Genomic DNA, 17,940 nt, shown 5'->3' with positions numbered 1-17,940 from the left:
AATTAAAAATTTAGTTTCTCAGTTGCACTAGTCACACTTTAAATACTCAGTAGTCACGGGTGGTTAGTGGCTGCCACATTGAGCATGTGGATTCAGAATCTACATGTATTTTGTTTCCAAAGATTGTAAAGTAACAGCAGCAGCAGCAGCAGCAGCAGCAGCAGCACTTGAATATGATACCAACAAACAGGAAGTGTCAGGAAGACGCCTTGCAGAACTGTCAGCCTGTGGAGTTGTTTCCCCAAGAGAGTTTGGAGTTAGAAAGAGGTATCCAAATCTGGGAGGTTCAATTCCTAAAGTTCTTTGTCCCAGAACTGCTACCTTAAATTGCATAGGTCCTACGACAAGCTCAGCTTTCCCACTCACTGCTCCATCAGCTCCTAACTCACTTTACTGAAGACCTGTCTCACTTTAGATTGCATGACCTCTGAGGGCAGCAACCATTTTTGACCTCTGATGCTGTGGGTAACTTGCCCATATTGCTTTCGGGTCATTAAACTTCTTGCACAATTTGAATTTTTATATGAAAATTGGGGTAGACAAGAAAGCTTTCTGGCAGAGCAGATAACTCTCTTGGAGTTAACCATGCCTGCTCTTGTTCATTCAACATGTATGCGTTTGTAACGGAAAACCAAGAGGTACTAGAAGTACCTCTTTCATGCAGAAATAGTTCACTCCTGAATACTGATACAACAGTTTTTCCACCGGTCCTGCCTCAGTTGCTGTCAAAATGAATCAGTCCTCAATAACTGTTATAAGTGTGTTCAAGGCCCTCTTTGCTTTAAGGTGTTGGTTATTGATGGTAGAGAGAGGGTTGAGAACTGAGGTGCTACAACTGCTCCCTAGTGAGAGGTATACTATCTGCTCAGGTTGGGCAGACAGTGTGAGTCATTTCCAAGTTACCTTTTCTGCCTCCAGTGTGTGTATGTGTGTGTGTGTTTAAGGAGGGTATGATATGCCCTAAGAAAGCCCCACATGCCAGCAGTTCCATTGATAATCCAATACCCCCAGGTTAGCAACTATCTCCCCACAATGTCCTTCCCCGAGAGCAGATGACAGCACTCGTCACTCATCCAAACTCCTGAGAATCTCCTGGGATCCAGAGGGTGGATGGTTTTTTCTCCAATTCCTTCCTGTTTTATGTGCCAATTCCCACCACAGCACAGCAAGGTGATGAGAGACCCCAATAAAAGCTTGTGCTTTCTCATCCTTCAAAAATCATGCCTTATATTTTTAATTTTGAGGCCAAGCATAATTTTGACTCTAATTGGTTTCAGGCTTCAATCAGTGACATGACTCATTATCAGGATCCTTGAGTGCAAACCCACAATCCCATCCCCTAGCCCCAGGCTTCCTTTTCCAGCATCCGTGGGAATCCTTTTGTCCTTGATCTTTCCTGTAAGGTATTTTGAAGACTTTGATCTGTTAACTCCTCAGCCATCTCTCTCCCCTAATTTTCATTTTTTTCCTGCAATGAACCTTTAGTCTTTTGCAAAATTCCCTTTCCTTCATGGGTGTAACCCTCTGGGCCGGGGAGAATCCTGGGGCCCCTTCAGCATTTATTGTCATAGGTGCCAGCTATCTCCGTTTGCACTCAGATTTTTAAATAAACACACAGGGTGCTCAGGTCGATTTGAATTTCAGATAAACAATGAATAAATATTTGTATAACTGAGTACCAAATATCGCATGAAGCATAGTTATGCTAAAATTTTTTCATTGTTTATCGGATATTCAAATGTAACTGGGCATTTGTGTTTGATCTGGCAACCTCCCTCTTCGAATTGATCCCTGCCCTTCCCTACTCTGATCACCATCACATGAGATGCCCCCTCTCAGCTCCCTTGCCCTTCAGATCCTGGAATGAATTTGGTTGAGACTGGTGGGCCAGAGGCCAGGAAGAGCCAGGCTGCATCTCCTCTCTGTTCTTCTTGTGGAGTCCCCAGCCACAGCTGAGTATCTCCATGGCTCTGACTCTGTCTGAATTTTCCTGCCTCTGTTGCAGTTTCCACTGGGTGGTCTGGATCCCCGGGTGCTGCCAGGATGCTCCTCCCTGTACATGCCCAGCACTGAGATGGTGGCAGCAGCTGCCCACTTTGCTAGTCTTCGCATTGTCTGCTATCCCCTGTTTAGAGATTCCACTTGCCCAGTACCTTTTTAAGCAATTTCCTGTATTAGATTTCATCTATTTGAAATACATAGTTTGGCTGCTATTTCCCTGAATAGCCCTTGATTGAAAATGGCTTTGCTGTTTATTTCTCCAGTTCTCAGAGCCCCCTCATCCTTCTTCCTTCAGCCTGTCAAACACTGTCTTTGCCTATTTCCTCTCTTGTTTTCTCCTCAACTGCCTTTGCCTGTAAAGACGGATCTGTCGTAGGCCATGCACAAATAATGTGTTATTAGTATTAAAGTGCCAAAAGTTCCTTCTTTGTAAATATCTAAGATGCAAGCCTGTGAAACAATGACACCATCCCTCACCTGCAGTCCAATATTGTCATCAGAAAAGTTTAGTCACGGTTCTTGAGGAGAAAAGGAAGAGTTGGGATGGGAGCGAATCCATCTGGCTCTGTTTTCACCGTGCAGTGTGCATCCGATCAGCTTGTGTGAAACAAGAAAGGCTGCACTGTCCTGCTGCAGCGCAATGAGCTGGGCTAACGTTCAGTCTTGGACTCCTGTTCCTTCCCAGAGAGGGGCATCCACATATCTGCTCCTCATCAATCCATGACTATAAAATGAAACCACATTTTCAGTTAATAATGAGATGTTAATGTCCTGAGAGATCCCTAATAATTTAATTGTCAAAAAAAGCCCTTCTCAAATTATTTCCAAGTAACATTGACAAGTATCGGAGACAGCTGCCCTGTGTGTTCAGGAGTGGGCTCTGTGATCATCTGTCGAGTCTCCTGGTCATGCCATTCTGCTGCCTCTGCCTCAGTGACTTTCCCGAGGACATGGCTCTACAGGGCCCAGCTGGGATCTGCCGTGGGTGCACAGTGTCCTCCATGGCCTGCTTTGACTGTGGAATGCACTTGCCCTTAATTCTCCAAAGTATAGCAATGATCAGCCTGTAGTTTTAAAATTGTATGGAAATTTGTGAGTTAATGGAAGGGGAAAATATTACAAGAAATGCATATGTTACCTTCAGAGCCCGCCTGCTGAAGGCTTCCTCTCCCTGTTCCGCATGGCAGGAGCCTGTGGACTCCATTGGTGAATTTTCAAAACATCTGTTTACCTCTGAGTCCAAACCAGACTGGCAAAAGCTCCTACAAAAAAGTTATGCAATTCCTTACTTTTTCTCCCTAGATTGTCCTCTTCCTGTCACATGTGACACTGGGACTACTCACTCTCATCAAGAGAAACATGACACTTCTCACAGGGGTGTAGACTAGCCCCCCACGATAATCATGCAATAGCCCTAACATCAATTCATGCACTGGGATGTTCGTGAATTAATATTAAATAATATTACAGAATGGACAGCAAGGGAATTCAATTCCTTCTTATATCACCCTGAGAGTGGAGCCTACAAATCCTCCTGAGTCTTTGAGGTTCTCTATTCCTGTTATCCTTGAACAAGAAAATGTGCACATGTACACACACACACACACACACACACACACACCACTAATTTCCCTGAAAACACAAGAATGAGCAATAATAGATATGCACAGGTCAGTCTAAATGAGTATTTATCAAAACAGATTTTTCTATTTTGCAGATGAGAATTTAGAACTCTGCCTACATTTAAAAAAAAATCTCCAATAACCACCCACAACAATTTAACTCCTTAGAATTATATTATTGGATATTTCCTTCTTAGAAGAGGGTTTTCTTTTTCCCGAGGAAGACACCTCTGTGAACTGTTTAATTATGCAAATATGAGCAAGGATGGTGAGCAGGGCGGTGAGCCTGAAAGGCAAATTCAATATCTATTCTCCACAGTAGAAGCTGCTAATAACCTAAATAACAGATATTTTAAATTAAGAAATAATTGGGAGACATAAAAATATATAGTGAGTATTCTTTTAGTCAACCATTAGCTCTAAGTAATGCTAATATACTAACATTTTTACATGTTTGTTTGATGTTTTTATTTTAAATAAGACATTATAGATAAAGTTCAAACCCCATTTTATTATTCCCTAGTCCTCTCCTCCAATTTTCTCTTTCCTGATGCATCATCTCCCTTACATTGGCTTAGGTGTTTCTCATACATATGTTTATGTTTCTCTGTATAAAACTGGTATACAGGATACCTTTGCATGTTTTGAAATTATGTAAACAGTTTCAGACAGAATACACTTTTCTTCAAATTGGATTATTTTTACTCAATATTTAATGTCAAGGTCTGTGTTACTGCATATAATCCTAATTATTAATCTAGTTCACTTATGAAAGCTGCAATATTCTATCAAATGCACTTGCTTTTCCAGACAAAATGAAGTGATGGGGATTTTATTTACCTTCTACCCTGAAACAATCAAAACACAGACAAAATATGTGATATAATGTTTTCAAGTCACTGGACATCAAACAATGAAGGGCAGTGAACCCTCTGAGATAGCAAATGAACAATAATGAGGCCTCCAATTGCTCAGTCTGTCTTCCTTGATAGTGTTTCCAGGCTCCTGTTCAGAGAAGGGGGAACCCAGGCAGAGCTCAGTGGAGTCCCTGAGTTGGAGAGACACAACTGAGAGTATAGAGAAATCCCAGAGGCAGGAGCTCACAGGACAGAATTCCAGCAAGGAGAGTACTGCACAGGAAGAATGACCAGGAGGCATACAGAGGGTGCAGAGGGTCACCACTGAGGGTTCCAGTGAGTACTTATGATCACATGAAAACCTCCCAAGTTTGGGGAAGGAACTACTCAAAAAGACTGGAAGTAACTGGAGCTGACCAAGGCCTGAGAACAGTGCCTGTTTCTATTAGCCAGACTGAAGAACTTCATGATTCACAGGACATTTGGTTTGAATACACAGAGAGCCTTCCCTTAATCAGTGGGGAATAAGTAGAAATAGACTCAGCATTGTTATGGTCCTACCTAGAAAATCTTAAAAGCCAGACTCAAAAGGATCAATCTATTTCCAGTAACTTAATTGCATCCCAGAATAAAGCTCAATAATATTGAAAGGACTACAGCAACTTTCAGCACCCAACACCAGGCATTCAGGGAAGCAGAAGAATATAACCCTCAATGGAGAGGTCAGTCCATCAAAATTGACCCAGAACTGGCACCAATGTTAAAATTAGCAGACAAGGACATTAAAATATCAGTATAATAACTGTATTCTATATGTTCAAAAAGTTAAATAGAAGCATGGGAGATATAAAAATGACACAAGACAAACTCCTAGAGATGAAAAAAATACAATGTATGAGACAAAAAATAAATTATAGGATTAGCAACATATTAGACACTGCAGAAGAAAACTTGGTAAATTTTAAGATCTAGTAATAGAAACTATCTAAAATGAAACAAAGAGGGAAAAGTACAGAAAAAAACCTCCAGAACATCAATAAGCTGTGAATCATGTCAGGTGTTTAATATATATGTAATTGGAATCACCAAAGGGAAGGGGCCAGGAAAAATATTTATATAGATAATGGCCAAAATTTTCCAAGTTTGATGAACATTATAAACCTATAGATCCAATAAGCACAGAGAACCTTAAGTATAGGAAGATGTGAAGAAAATTACACGAAAGCACATACTAACCAAATTGGCTAAAACCAATGACTAAGAGAACATCTTAAAAGCAGTCATACAAAAAAGACAAAAGGAAAAGACAGACAAAATAAAGAGGAGGGAAGATAAGGGTGACAGCAGATTTCTCAGAAGAAACAATGCAAGTGAGAAGCCATTGGAGCTGCATTTTAAAAGTACTGAAAGAAAAAAATTGCCAATCTTGAATTCTGTTCCCAGTGAAAATATTTTTCAAAAACAAAGATGAATAAAGACTTTTTTCAGATTGGAAAAGCAATTCCATCAAGTGAATATATTATAATTTTTCTATTGATGGGCATTTAGGTGGTTTTTATTGTTGTTTGTTGGACAGCACTAGAATGAGCATCATACACACATTACCTTTTGTTCACATGAGAGTTTTTCTAGAATACGCATCCAAAGGGAGAATTGTTGGGTAAAAAGACATGCACATCTTCCGTTTTTGCCAAGGTACATACCAAGTGCCTGGAGAGTATGAGCACTGGTATTGTCAGATTAAAATGTTTACTTTTCTAATGGGCCTGTTTCTGGATGTTCTATTCTGTTGCACTGGTCTGTTTGTCTATCATGGGGCTAATATTAGGCTGTTTAAATTGTATAGTTTCACAATAGCAATTGCACAAGACCCTCTGCATCAGTTTGCTAGGGCTGCCATTATAAACCCTATTGTAGTAGGGCTGCCATAAATAACAGAAATTTTTAAACAGCAGACATCTATTTTCTCACACTTTTGGAGGCTAGAAGTTCAAGATCAAGGTGTTGGCTGGGTTGGCTTTTTTCTGAGGGCCATGAGGGTAGGATCTGTTCCAGGCCTCTCTTCTTAGCTTGTAGATGGCCTTCTCCCTGTGTCTTTACATCATCTCCTCTCTGTATGTGTCCGTTTGTGAATTCCTCTTCTTATAATATTCATTAATATTGGATTAGCCCCACCCCATCATGACCACAATTTTAACTTAACTTCTGCAAAGACCCTATCTCCAAATGCAGTTACATTCTGAGGTACTAGGGGTTAGAACTTCAACATAGGAAATTCGAGGGAATGCAATTCAGCCCATAACACCCTCTCTCTTAGTTTTTCATCAAAAGTGAATTTTAGAATCAGTTTCTCAAGTTTCACAAAGAAAAGCCCACCAGGACTGTAAGTGAGAATTGCATTGGATTGATTAGGGGAGAAATGACATATTTGTGACATTGTGCATTCCCTTTCATAAACATGCAGGTCTGTCATTTGTTCAGGGATTCTTTTATGTTTTTCAGTAAAGTTTAAATTCTACTCCTAATGGCCGTGCATTAATTTCTTCCCCCTGGCTTACTACCATAGACCTTCCATCCCTGGGGGGTTCACACAACCTTTTTGAGAAGCTCTTGTATTCAAACTTCTGGCTCCTGTATAAATTTTTCTATCCTTATTTCTCAAGACTCACTGCCTCAAACTCTTCACTTCAGCAACACCAAAATTCTTGAGGTTTCTCAAACATACCATGTTAAATCACACCTCTATGCTTTTTCATGTTCCCTCTGCCATTCATCTATCTATTACCTATTAAAAGATGAGGTACATTAAAGACTCAGCCTAGACAAAACCTCCTCTAGGAATTCAACCTCAGCCCAGACCACCACCCAATCAATAGAGTTAGGTAGCTTTCTTCTCTGCTCTTCTAGCATATGACTGCAGTGCCACAGCATTTTCTAAATGTCTTTATAATGCTAGAGACATTTAGAAATGGGGTTGTATCTTATTCAAATTTGGATACCATCAAATAGTAGCACAGTGCCTGGAATATAAGAAATGATTCCAAATATTGCTAGAATAAGTGGATAAAATAAACCAGAATAGCAATTGGTTAATTTTTTCATGAGTGATATTTCCTTGTTAGAGATTGCTAGCTGGAACCTCCTTCTCAGGATTAGTGGACTTGGGAATGAGAGTGATATGGAAGTTGGGAAGTGAACATGGATTCAGGAAAAATCTCGGTGGACATGATGAACACTGAAAACCCGTCTCCACTTCTTAATAGAAAGCAGCTAACGAGTAGCCCCAGTGTTGGTGTCTGCCTTATTTAACATCTCTCGTTCTTGGAAAGTCTTGGATAAAGGCCGTCGGGTCCGTCGACTTCTCCATTGCCTCACAGTTTCTTTGAGACTCAAGAGCAGCCTTTGTAACTGTGGTCACGATCTCTGTTGCTGCGTTGCTGAGATTACAAACAGCCCCTGAGGAACGACACCATGGATGTTCCCGGGAGGACCGAGGCCTGATTTCTAGACCCTCTCTTTCCCCAAGCCTCAGGATTTTCTCTCCGTCCGAATTCTTGGGGGAAGGAAGCACCTCCCTCTTGTCCTCAGGTACTGACTCCACTTAACAAGAAATATGCAGTGTATTCCCAGGCCTTTTTCTCTGAAATTAGTGAGCTGACTGAGGGTTTCAAAACACCCCCAAGAGGCCACATGGTAAAGGTGACTCTTCAAACATGTTTTAAGTTCCTGGCTTTTGATGGCTTTTATCTCCTCAAAAGTAAGTGAGAGCTTTAGACAGAGCTGTGAGGACTATTCAGTAAGTGTGAGCATATGAGCTGGGGGCAGGCTTCTTGCGGAGAGCTTTTCTGTCTCATATCATCCATGCTGCAGCCTTGCTTCCTCTACAGGTGGAGGAATTTGGAGGGGATGTTGACCTCCAGTAATGTCTCCTAGACATTCTTGTGTAAACCAAATTCTCCAGGCACTCTCCCCTCGAGTTCAGTCTTGCAGGACACTGGACCCTGGAGATTTGCCATGCTTGCTGTTGGGACAGTGATGCTATGGAGATAGCCTCCCTTTGCCCTGTCCTCTGCATAACTGAGAGGTCTCCCTTTCTACCTGCTCGAAAGGCTGTGGGACTCAGGTATAGCACTCAGATGAGAGTCTTCCAGGAGGGGAAAGGATGTTCTAGAAAATGCACCATCTTTGTGGGGAGCATCCACTCTCCCCTTGCTTCCCCTCTCCTGTTGGTTACAGTCTTCCTGTTTTCCTTAGGAAACTACCCTTGGCCTGCCCTTTGCAGCAGGCTGTTTTTGTGGACATCCTAATCAATCCCCCTCCTCCTGAATAGCTCCTCCCAGGTCATGCTTGAAATGCTCCTCATGGAGGTCCCTTCTGGGGATGGTGAAAGGCTACTCGCCTGTTCCAAAGAACTTCTCCTAGCCCCACCATCTGGGGAGGATTTAGTCTCTGTTTGTGGTTTTCACGAGTCAATGCAAGTATTCTAGGAATGGGTGGCAGCACCTCGTCATTAACTTCTTGGGATAGACTTCCATAATGCCTCTGTCATCTGACATCCTTGGGGGCATATTGCTTCACATGAGAAAAACTACAAGATCACTGCACCGAATTTTTTCAGAAAAACTTTGCCACATCATAATCTTCTAGGAAACTTTGAAATGGAACATAGTGGAAACAAAGCCTGATCTAGCTTGTTCTTAGGAGTCATGATGGTCCTTCTGCAAATCAGGTCTCTCCTCAGTGTTGTAATGTTATATACCAAAGTTCTTTGGCCCAGGGAGCTTCAGTGGGAATTCTTATGAATGTTTTCCTTTGTGCTTTTGAAACTTCTTTTTCTACCCAACAGCAATTGGCATTTCTTGCCAATGTGAGTATTTCCCTTCTCAGAGGCTGTTGCCTGCTGCCAGGTAAGCAAAGATGTCTGAGTCACCCTGAAGGCAGAGAGGGTAACAGTGGTGTGAAGAGAGCCAAGGTGGCTCTAGGAAGTTTGAGAGAGAGGGCAGGAGATCCACAAAACATCATCTCCAGCCAGACTAACCTATTTTCCCAAATGTTAGTTCAATAATTGAACACATGAATGAAAGAGAACACAGTACAGTTTTCTAAGAGGAAGCAGATCTTCCTGGAGTTCTCAAGTCACATTAGCACACATTTCCTTTATGCAAGTTTTATAAATTGTGTGTGTTTCCTTGGTTGGCTTCTTAACAGCATCATTCAAATAATGAACATTGAAAAAAATGCCAAGAAAACTGTGTAAGCATCATATTGTCAGATTTCTTTGGGAAAATATATTGAACCAAAAATGTTACTTTGATTATTTCTTTGAAGGGGCAGGTTGTTAGGTTTTCAGATTTTTTTCCTATAAAAGTTGGTTCACTTTCATCTTCTTGTAAAGGAGCTAAACATATCCCAGGAAAAAGAAAGTACACAATTGTAGGGTGTCTGATATCAGGTATGCTTATTTGACATTATTATAAAGTAAACATTGAGTTCTGGCATGCCAGATGAGGCCAGGCTTCCTTTCCACCCTCTATGTCCTAGTTTATGTCACTCTGTCTTTTCTAAGAAACCGATACCCATTATCTCCCTCCCTGCCATTCAAGTCGCTTTTCTTTGACATCAAAGATTCTTCTGTGATTTCCTTTCTTGGCTGTGCTGCTGACAGTGGAGAATGTGGACTCAGCAGCAGGGAAATCTGAAGTCATTAAACATTATAAATTCCCCTTTGGATGTACGCAGTGATTTTTTGGCAAGTACTGCATTTCCTGTGCCTTTGTAAAAGAAAGGAAAATTAAAAAATAAATGACAAATGTCAAAGTAATTAGGTCATCCAATCACAATCCAAATGTTTACATTTGCATGATTACGGCAGCAACATGGGAGCATCCAGGTGATGCTTTGAAGTACAATTGAATAAATGATATGTCACGGTAAAAGTAAATATTTTAAATCACTATTATGTTATCAGATTAATCACCCTACAACTGCAGCGAGATAAACGGAGATGGAAGCATGTAATGTGCATTCATTTGGAATATCTCCAGCAACCTCCACAGTGTTCCATGGGGCAGTTGATGAGGCACTCTAGGTTTTGATGAGAATGTGCCATCTGTTGCTACATGACCTAAATCCTCTATTGGGGTCAGTTCTCACTGAGCATTAGTGTAGTGACTTAATCATCTGTACGGCCCGCACTGTCCAGGCATTCTTGTATAGACCATATCAAAAAGTGGTTCCTTCACTGAAAAAGTAGAAATAAAGACAATAATTAAAATAAATTTCAACTGTACTGTACGTGGCCACGTACGTGGAGTGATTTAACGAACAAGTAACTTCAAATTGAGATGACTGATCATGCGTGCAGACAGACTGAATGGGGTTCTTCCTTGGACCGCTGGCAATGCCTCCAGCCTAGCCTGGATCAGACACTGGGAATTCCAAATCTCGTTTCAGTTTTATCATCATCGCCAGCTTAACATGGACAATGGGCTATTTCACAGTACTTTACATACATTATCTCATTGATTTCTTAACCCAGGTTGGGACTCTGTGTTACATTCTTCAATGCCATCTCTATTCCTGGGACTCTCCCCGCTTTGTAATTATACATGCACTTTTGAAATTAGTTAATTGATATCTCTTTTCCCCTAGTAGGTGGGAAGCTCCATGCAGGCAGGAATCAGTCTGCATTACAATTAGCATCTGATCATGAGTAGGATCCATGCATACCCAGGTATTCTGCAGTTCTTTAATTGGAAAACGAGAAATAAGGACATTGATCGAAAGTAACTATATTGCATATGGATGACAGTGTATATACAGAGATTTATTAGACAAGTAACTTAGAGGTGATTGCTGAAACACGCATATGGCAGGGACTGGGGTTCTTGCTTGGAACTAGGACCCAAGCACAGTTCCTGGTATCCCATAAAAGGCATTCAATAAATGTCTGTGAGTGAGTGAATGTCAATATTCACAATAACACAGTGAGTCAGGAGATAGTATTCCAAGTGTGTATAAAAGGAAACTGAGGCTTAAACAAGGTAGGCTCTGTGTTCAGTAATGAAGCTGGAACCAAAGCCAGGTCTGCAGGGCTGCAGAGTTCTGTGTGGTTGACCGCCACACTAACTGCCTTTGGCATCCTCCTCTCCTATGACCACACTCTCTTCCTGTTGGGTCCAGAGTCATCACTGCCCATTGCAGGAACTCATCGCCGTTCAGCTTACATTAAATCAGTATTTCTCATGTGCAGCCGCATCCCATGGGTGCTAGTTGGGAGGATTTTATATGACAGATGGATACATTTTTTTTATTTTTAGTTATATATTTAATTTGAATTTGAGAAATATAAATGGAGCATTAAATCAGTTTTTTCCCATGGATATTACTGCCTAGGACGGGAAAAAGTATTTAAATTTTCAAATGAGTCAACCTAAAGAAAAACATTAAGTGATTAATATGATAGAGGAGACACATGGACAAGGCACACCTCATAAATTGTGGGAATGTTATGTAAGTTTCACCCGAAGTGGAAAACATTCTCTTTGATCTATTTCTCCCTCTTGTCAAAATTTCGTCTCACCTGCTTCAGACAATGTTGACAGTCTTCTGATGGCAAAGGAGGGACACTCCTTTTTGAGAAGGAAAATCCACTGCCTTATCTGTCTGACAATAGGAAGGCATATTTTTCTGTCCCATGGAGAAATCCCAGACTTTCCAGGGGAAGAGTTTGCTTTGAGAGGTTCTATTTGCAAACCAATCCCAAAGACAAAGCAGCTCTCTGCTTGCTATCTTTCCTGCTTTCTTTGCAAAAAGTTCCTGCTGCCCTGGAGTGGGAGGATGAAAGGGAGTTTCTCCTCCTGGAGTAGGAATGGGCTATCGCTCCTTTGTAGCAGAGATGAGGGCCAGGTCTGGGACAGGACTGGATTCATCAGTGGTTTAAGAGCCAGCAACCTTGTCTTAGGTATACTTAAATCTTTCCCCACAAAATACATGCAAAGCATGTATCTTAGTATTTAAAAATGCTAACTGAATGAGAAATGAGTGAATAGTTCTTTTATTTTTCCCTCAAAGTAGCACGCTTTTAGAGTGATAATATGTTCTTTAATAATTTGAAAACAGAGCTGACCTTCGTGCCCAGATAGTACGAGTATGTGTCCTTGTACTTTCACACTGGAATATGAAATTTGGGAAACCAAGAGACATACCATTTTTTCTTATATGTTAAGCAGGTGCTCAGGAAGTATGTGTGGACTTTTGTCATGGGTTGAATAGTGTCCCTCGCAAAGTTCACGTCCACATGGAACCCGTGAATGTGACCGCTGTGGTTTGAATGCTTCTGTCAAAACTTAATCCCCAATGCAACAATACAAAGAAATAGGGTCTTTAGGAGGTGAGTGGAAGTCGACGGCCTTATAAAAGGCTTGACTGAGGGAGCTCACCCCTTTTTGCCCCTCCTGCCCCTTCCACCATGTGAGGACGCCGAGGCTGCATTATCTGTGAGGAATGGACTCTCCCCAGACGCTGGACCTGCCAGCATCTTCACCTTGGACTTTCCAGCAAAGACTAGAAGAAATAAGTTTCTGTTTTTTCTACATGACCCAGTTTCAGATATTTTTTAGAGCAGCACAACCGGACTAACACAGTGACCTTAGTTGGAAATCGGGTCATTGCAGATATGATCAGGTTAAAGACACACAGGGAGGGGCCACCGTGCGAAGATGGGGGCGGAGACTGAAGTGACCTGGCCGCCAGCCAGGCAACACCAAGGACTGCCAAACGACTGGACTGTGTCGCTTAAGAAATTAATTCTGTGGAAATTTCACATCCATCGGCAAGTTCTCCATGAGAATTTTGTATCGTGTTTTCCATTCTGATGAAAACTTAAAAAATGATCACAGGCCTTCTTGGAATTATCAGGACAACGACTTTTGTCATGTTATTTCAAGGCCACACTTAAACGTTTGCCTCCACTTCAGTGCCCTGTGGTTTCAAAAAATGTATCAGGTCCTAACAGCAGCATCCTTCCCTGTTTCACATTGTGTCAAGTTGAATTCTTTAACCAGCTGTGAGGGCAAAATTTCTCGTAGATCATTGGTAGAGCATTTTTATAGACTTCACTTTCTTAAGTTACTTAGTAAGCAAAGACTTTGATTCGACAGAATTTAAAAGACCTAGTATTGCAAACTGATGCTTTCTTTAATTGTCCTGGATTAATAGGAGCAGAAGCATACTTAATGTTAAAGAGATACTGCTGCATCAACAAGGCCAAATGAAGTCATGTTTTACCTAAGCAATAAAGGTAGCAGAGGTTAGACAGAAAAGCGTGCTGGGTGAACTGAGACCTCCTCCCACACCGGCTGTGGAGCCAAGAGGACCTGGGCCTCTGCTGTCAGCCCAACACGCTCCCCTCCCAGGGATGTGTCCGCCAGATCCCAACATCATATACTTCCTCAGAAGCAATTGCAACAGTCAGTTCTCAGTCAGTGTAGCGGGAGATGGCCCACAAAGAAGTTCTCATTCAATGACATATTTTTATTTTTCATGATTGCATTTTGGAATATATTTTAAAATGATTGGCCTGTCAACATAATGGATTGGCAGTTAAAAATAACCAGGAGAATATGTAAAAAATAAAAAGGGTAAATTATGACAATGATAATGTTGGTGATGCCAACAGTGGTCCACCAAGCTGAACATAAAAACACGTTCCAGGTAGTGACAAGTCAACAGAAAGCCACCAACACATCGTTTTCTAATATTCAACTCAGAACTAGCAATTTTGTTTTAGCAAAATAATGCAATCTGTCATATCAAATGAGTATGGTTGATTTAAATTCTATTAGTTTTTAAGTTAGGGCCTTTCTTTTGTTCCCCCTGTAAATGTACATTGCTAGTGAATAAGGGCTTTATAACTAGTTTTATATTTGTACATATTTAAATAACGTTATGATGAAAGAATTTCTCAACCATGGGAATTCGTGAGAATCATTTTCCTTTCAAAGGAAATCACTCAAAGTGGAGTAGTGTAGCCTTAATAGCATTGTAGCCTTTTCTATGTTTTATTTTCATGTTTTGAAAAAACACATTTTCAGTGTCTATATGTCATTCTAAAGGTGTCCATTGTGAAAAATAATTGTCACATACAGAGAAGTCGCTCATAACTCCACTACCCACACCATTTTAACACCTCTTTTTTAGGGGATTTCTATAAATATTTAATTTATTTATGCAAAAACGATGTGAAACTATAAACCTTCTTTTACCATCTGCTCTTAACACTTAGTCGATATCCATGCCAATCATAGGGTGTTAAAATGAGAATTTTCTGTCTCAGTGTTTTAGCTGAGAACACCACAACAAACCCGAGAATACATTTCCTAAGGTAGAGGAGAGAACAGATCACTGGAGTGACATGATGTGACATGAAGTGTCTTTTCCCAGCATTATCCTGGGCCAGAACCTGTGTGATATGAGGCCAGGTCGGGGGGCAAAGAGGGTGAGCTGGCTCCTGGAGGGAGAGTTGTCAGCGTGCTGTCTGCCCCTCCCTCCTGCCTGGGACAGAGGGGATGCTTCCTGCACACCTGGAGCCCGGTGAGTGAGGCTTCCATGGGGCCTGCCCGGAAACTTGACCCCCTCCTCCAGAATCTGGGGTGCAGGAGGCGTGGCTCACACTGGAGAGGCCTCAAGGCCTGAAGCTGCATTAGGTGCCTCTGAAGAGGCGGAGCTCAGAAGCTGTGGGCAAAGATAAATGTGCCCGGAAGTTCATCAGTACCCGAAAGGGTTTGAGCCGACTCCGAAAGATGACACTTCCTACCTGTATGTAGATAGATTAAACATATGCACACACACCACGAAGTTGATAAAGAAGGAAGGATGGTTAGAGAGGAAAGGAGGGTACTAGGGGGAGGTGTCTATGAAGGAAATTCAAGTTTGCCCCTCTCCTCTGAGGTCATAAATTGAAAGTCTGTTGATCCAAGGAAATGCCTGAGATATTAGGTGTAAGTGATGGGCTGAACGCCATCTTAGCAGGCATGATTAGTAGGATCATCTTGACAGGGTCGGCCTTTCATGGGTCAGTCTTCTTTGTCAAAAAATAGCATTGAGGCCAGGCACGGTGGCTCACGCCTGTAATCCCAGCACTTTGGGAGGCCAAGGTGGGTGAGTCACCTGAGGTCAGGAGTTTGAGACCAGCCTTGCCAACATGATGAATCCCTGTCTCTACTGAAAATACAAAAGTTAGCCGGGTGTGGTATGACCTGCCTGTAATCCCAGCTACTTGGTAGGCTGAGGCAGGAGAATCGCTTGAACTCAGGGGGCAGAGGTTGCAGTGAGCTGAGATCTCAGCCCTGCACTCCAGCCTGGGCGACAGAGCGAGACTCCATCTCAGAAAAAAAAAAAAAGCACTGAGAAAGCAGTCACATGAGAAGGCTCTTTTCCTTCTCTGATCAGTTGTCCCAGGAAGAAATTCTCTTGGGCTCTGGCCACACGGTGATTTCCTATCAATAAACACAAGCATGTCTAAACAATTTTACTTCAAATTTAAAAACATAACCTTACCACTGTCAGAGGCATATAATAAAATTTCAACTTGTTGCTACTTCTAAATGCCCCTTGCCTTCTCATTTTTCTATGAACCTATGTCTATTGCAAGGCTGTTCTTTTTTTTCTTATTTCCTGGAAATAGAGAAAGAGAAGTGTCTAGCTACAAAATACAAAAATGCAGGTTGTTGTTTTCCTAATGTTAGTATTCTTCGGATGGATTAATAAGAGGAGCAGTTTTGGAACCTGACATGCATAATTTTTCACCTGTTTAAGCATCGTGGCTTTGGGAGCTTGGCACTGCTTGACGCTGAGTCAGCCAGCATCCTAGGGGTTGATGGGGTGGACTCCCCAGTTCTTTGACACAGGCGAGATTATGCATTTGGAGGTGCTGACATGCCATCAGGTGAATGCTTTAAACTTCATCAGTAATTTTTAAAGATATGATTAAAAATGGGGGTATAAATAGCATCCAGCATCCCCAAGGCGACAAAGCATTCCATGAAGGGAGTTCTTACTTCTTGCAGGTCTGCTGTTTTGTTCTGTTTTGTCTTTTCCATTAATTAAAATCAAGGTAGTCTCTAGAGCTCAGAATTGAGCGAAAGGTTGGAATTTAGGTCAGATGCCCTGGGGTGGATAAGTCGGCCTTTCTGGGTTTGGGAGACGATTCTCTGAATTCTTGCTTAGAACTCTGCTCTCAGATTTCTAAAAGGCCTTGCGGAGGGGAGGTCCATGGGGCTCCCACCAGGAGGAGGGGGTTCTGGGCCTAGGTGAACCCCCTCAAATGGGTGCCCATGAGGCTGCAAGAATCAGCTTTGCAACTTCAGGAAACCTTTGCTAGCACTAATGGACAAAGTGAGGAGGTCATGTCAGACTTATTTGCTTCCCGAGAGTCTACAAAGTCAGTTCCATGTGGTTGAAAGAGGAAACTCGTACATGTACAGTGCAGTGACTGGGTTCGAATTCAGACCTACAGAAGTCTAAATCCTGGCTTCACTGCTCTCACTATGTGACTCTGGACCGTCAGTTCCCTTATCTGTAGAATGGGAATAGCAACCCTCCTAGGGCTGTCCTGCACATCAAATGCAGTGCAGCTGCTAGCATGAAACATGCCCTCCGCTGTGACAAGCATCTGCTGAGAGTCATTGCTGCGGACACTAGCTGAAATAAAGAACAGGGTCAAACCCAGCAGGGGACACCACCACTATTGTGGAATCATTCTAGGACCTGGCACAGGATGTAGGGTTTTGTTTTGTTTTGTTTTTTGTTTTTGAGACAGAGTCTTACCCTGTCACCCAGGCCGGAATGCAGTGGCATGGTCTCGGCTCACTGCAACCTCCGCCTCCTGGGTTCAAGCAATTCTCCTGCCTTAGCCTCCCAAGTAGCTGGGATTACAGGCATGCACCACCACGTCCGGCTAATTTTTGTATTTTTAGTAGAGATGGGGTTTCACCATGTTGGTCAGGCTGGTCTCGAACCCCTTACCTCAGGTGATCCGCCCACCTCGGCTTCCCAAAGTGCTGGGACTACAGATGTGAGCCACTGCACTTGGCCAGGATGTAGGTTTTGATAAGTGCTATACTGTGAAATCGTTTAACATATTGGATTTGGAAGAGAAATGATTCATGCAGTAAAATGGATCTAAAATATCTTTTATAAGAAAAAAGCTAAGGAATGCAAAGTCTGCTTCACTGTTTCCTGGAGGGGACTGGTATTTAGCATTTTGTTGTAAATTAATGATTCTGTTAAGATAAATGTTCACACTGGATGTCACATTTCCAATCATAGTTAGTGACAGAAGCTTTTGTGTAAAAAGTACCTTCCATAGGGTGGAGGAAAAAAGACATAATGATGTTAAATAAAATTGAAAAAAGAAAAAAATGAATATTCTAAGGAAACAATGAGAAAAAATAATGAAG

At 41.9% G+C, this 17,940-nt stretch overlaps 3 long non-coding RNA genes across 10 annotated transcripts in view; 2 read left to right on the top strand and 1 right to left on the bottom strand.

Moving 5' to 3' along the window:
* LOC93463 (uncharacterized) overlaps positions 1–6,015 on the top strand; it is a 7,569-nt gene extending 1,554 nt beyond the window's left edge. Inside the window, exons 4-7 of the long non-coding RNA NR_135202.1 lie at positions 123–267; positions 3,304–3,671; positions 4,434–5,202; positions 5,648–6,015. This is a non-coding gene — a long non-coding RNA (uncharacterized LOC93463). The remainder of the gene's footprint in view (positions 1–122; positions 268–3,303; positions 3,672–4,433; positions 5,203–5,647) is intronic.
* The window catches only part of COPS8-DT (COPS8 divergent transcript), a 175,051-nt gene that overhangs the window by 31,208 nt on the left and 125,903 nt on the right, over positions 1–17,940 (top strand). The gene's annotated exons all lie outside the window — the stretch shown is intronic.
* Positions 1–17,940, bottom strand: part of LOC105373950 (uncharacterized) — a 30,143-nt gene extending 12,203 nt beyond the window's left edge. The window contains exon 1 of the long non-coding RNA XR_007088140.1: positions 1–17,940. This exon is cut by the window's left edge and continues 10,175 nt beyond it. This is a non-coding gene — a long non-coding RNA (uncharacterized LOC105373950).

Source organism: Homo sapiens, chromosome 2, assembly GCF_000001405.40.
Source record: "Homo sapiens chromosome 2, GRCh38.p14 Primary Assembly".
Taxonomy (NCBI): domain Eukaryota; kingdom Metazoa; phylum Chordata; class Mammalia; order Primates; family Hominidae; genus Homo; species Homo sapiens.
Note: the sequence above shows the minus strand (reverse complement) of the source record. Positions and strands in the feature narration are given on the sequence as shown.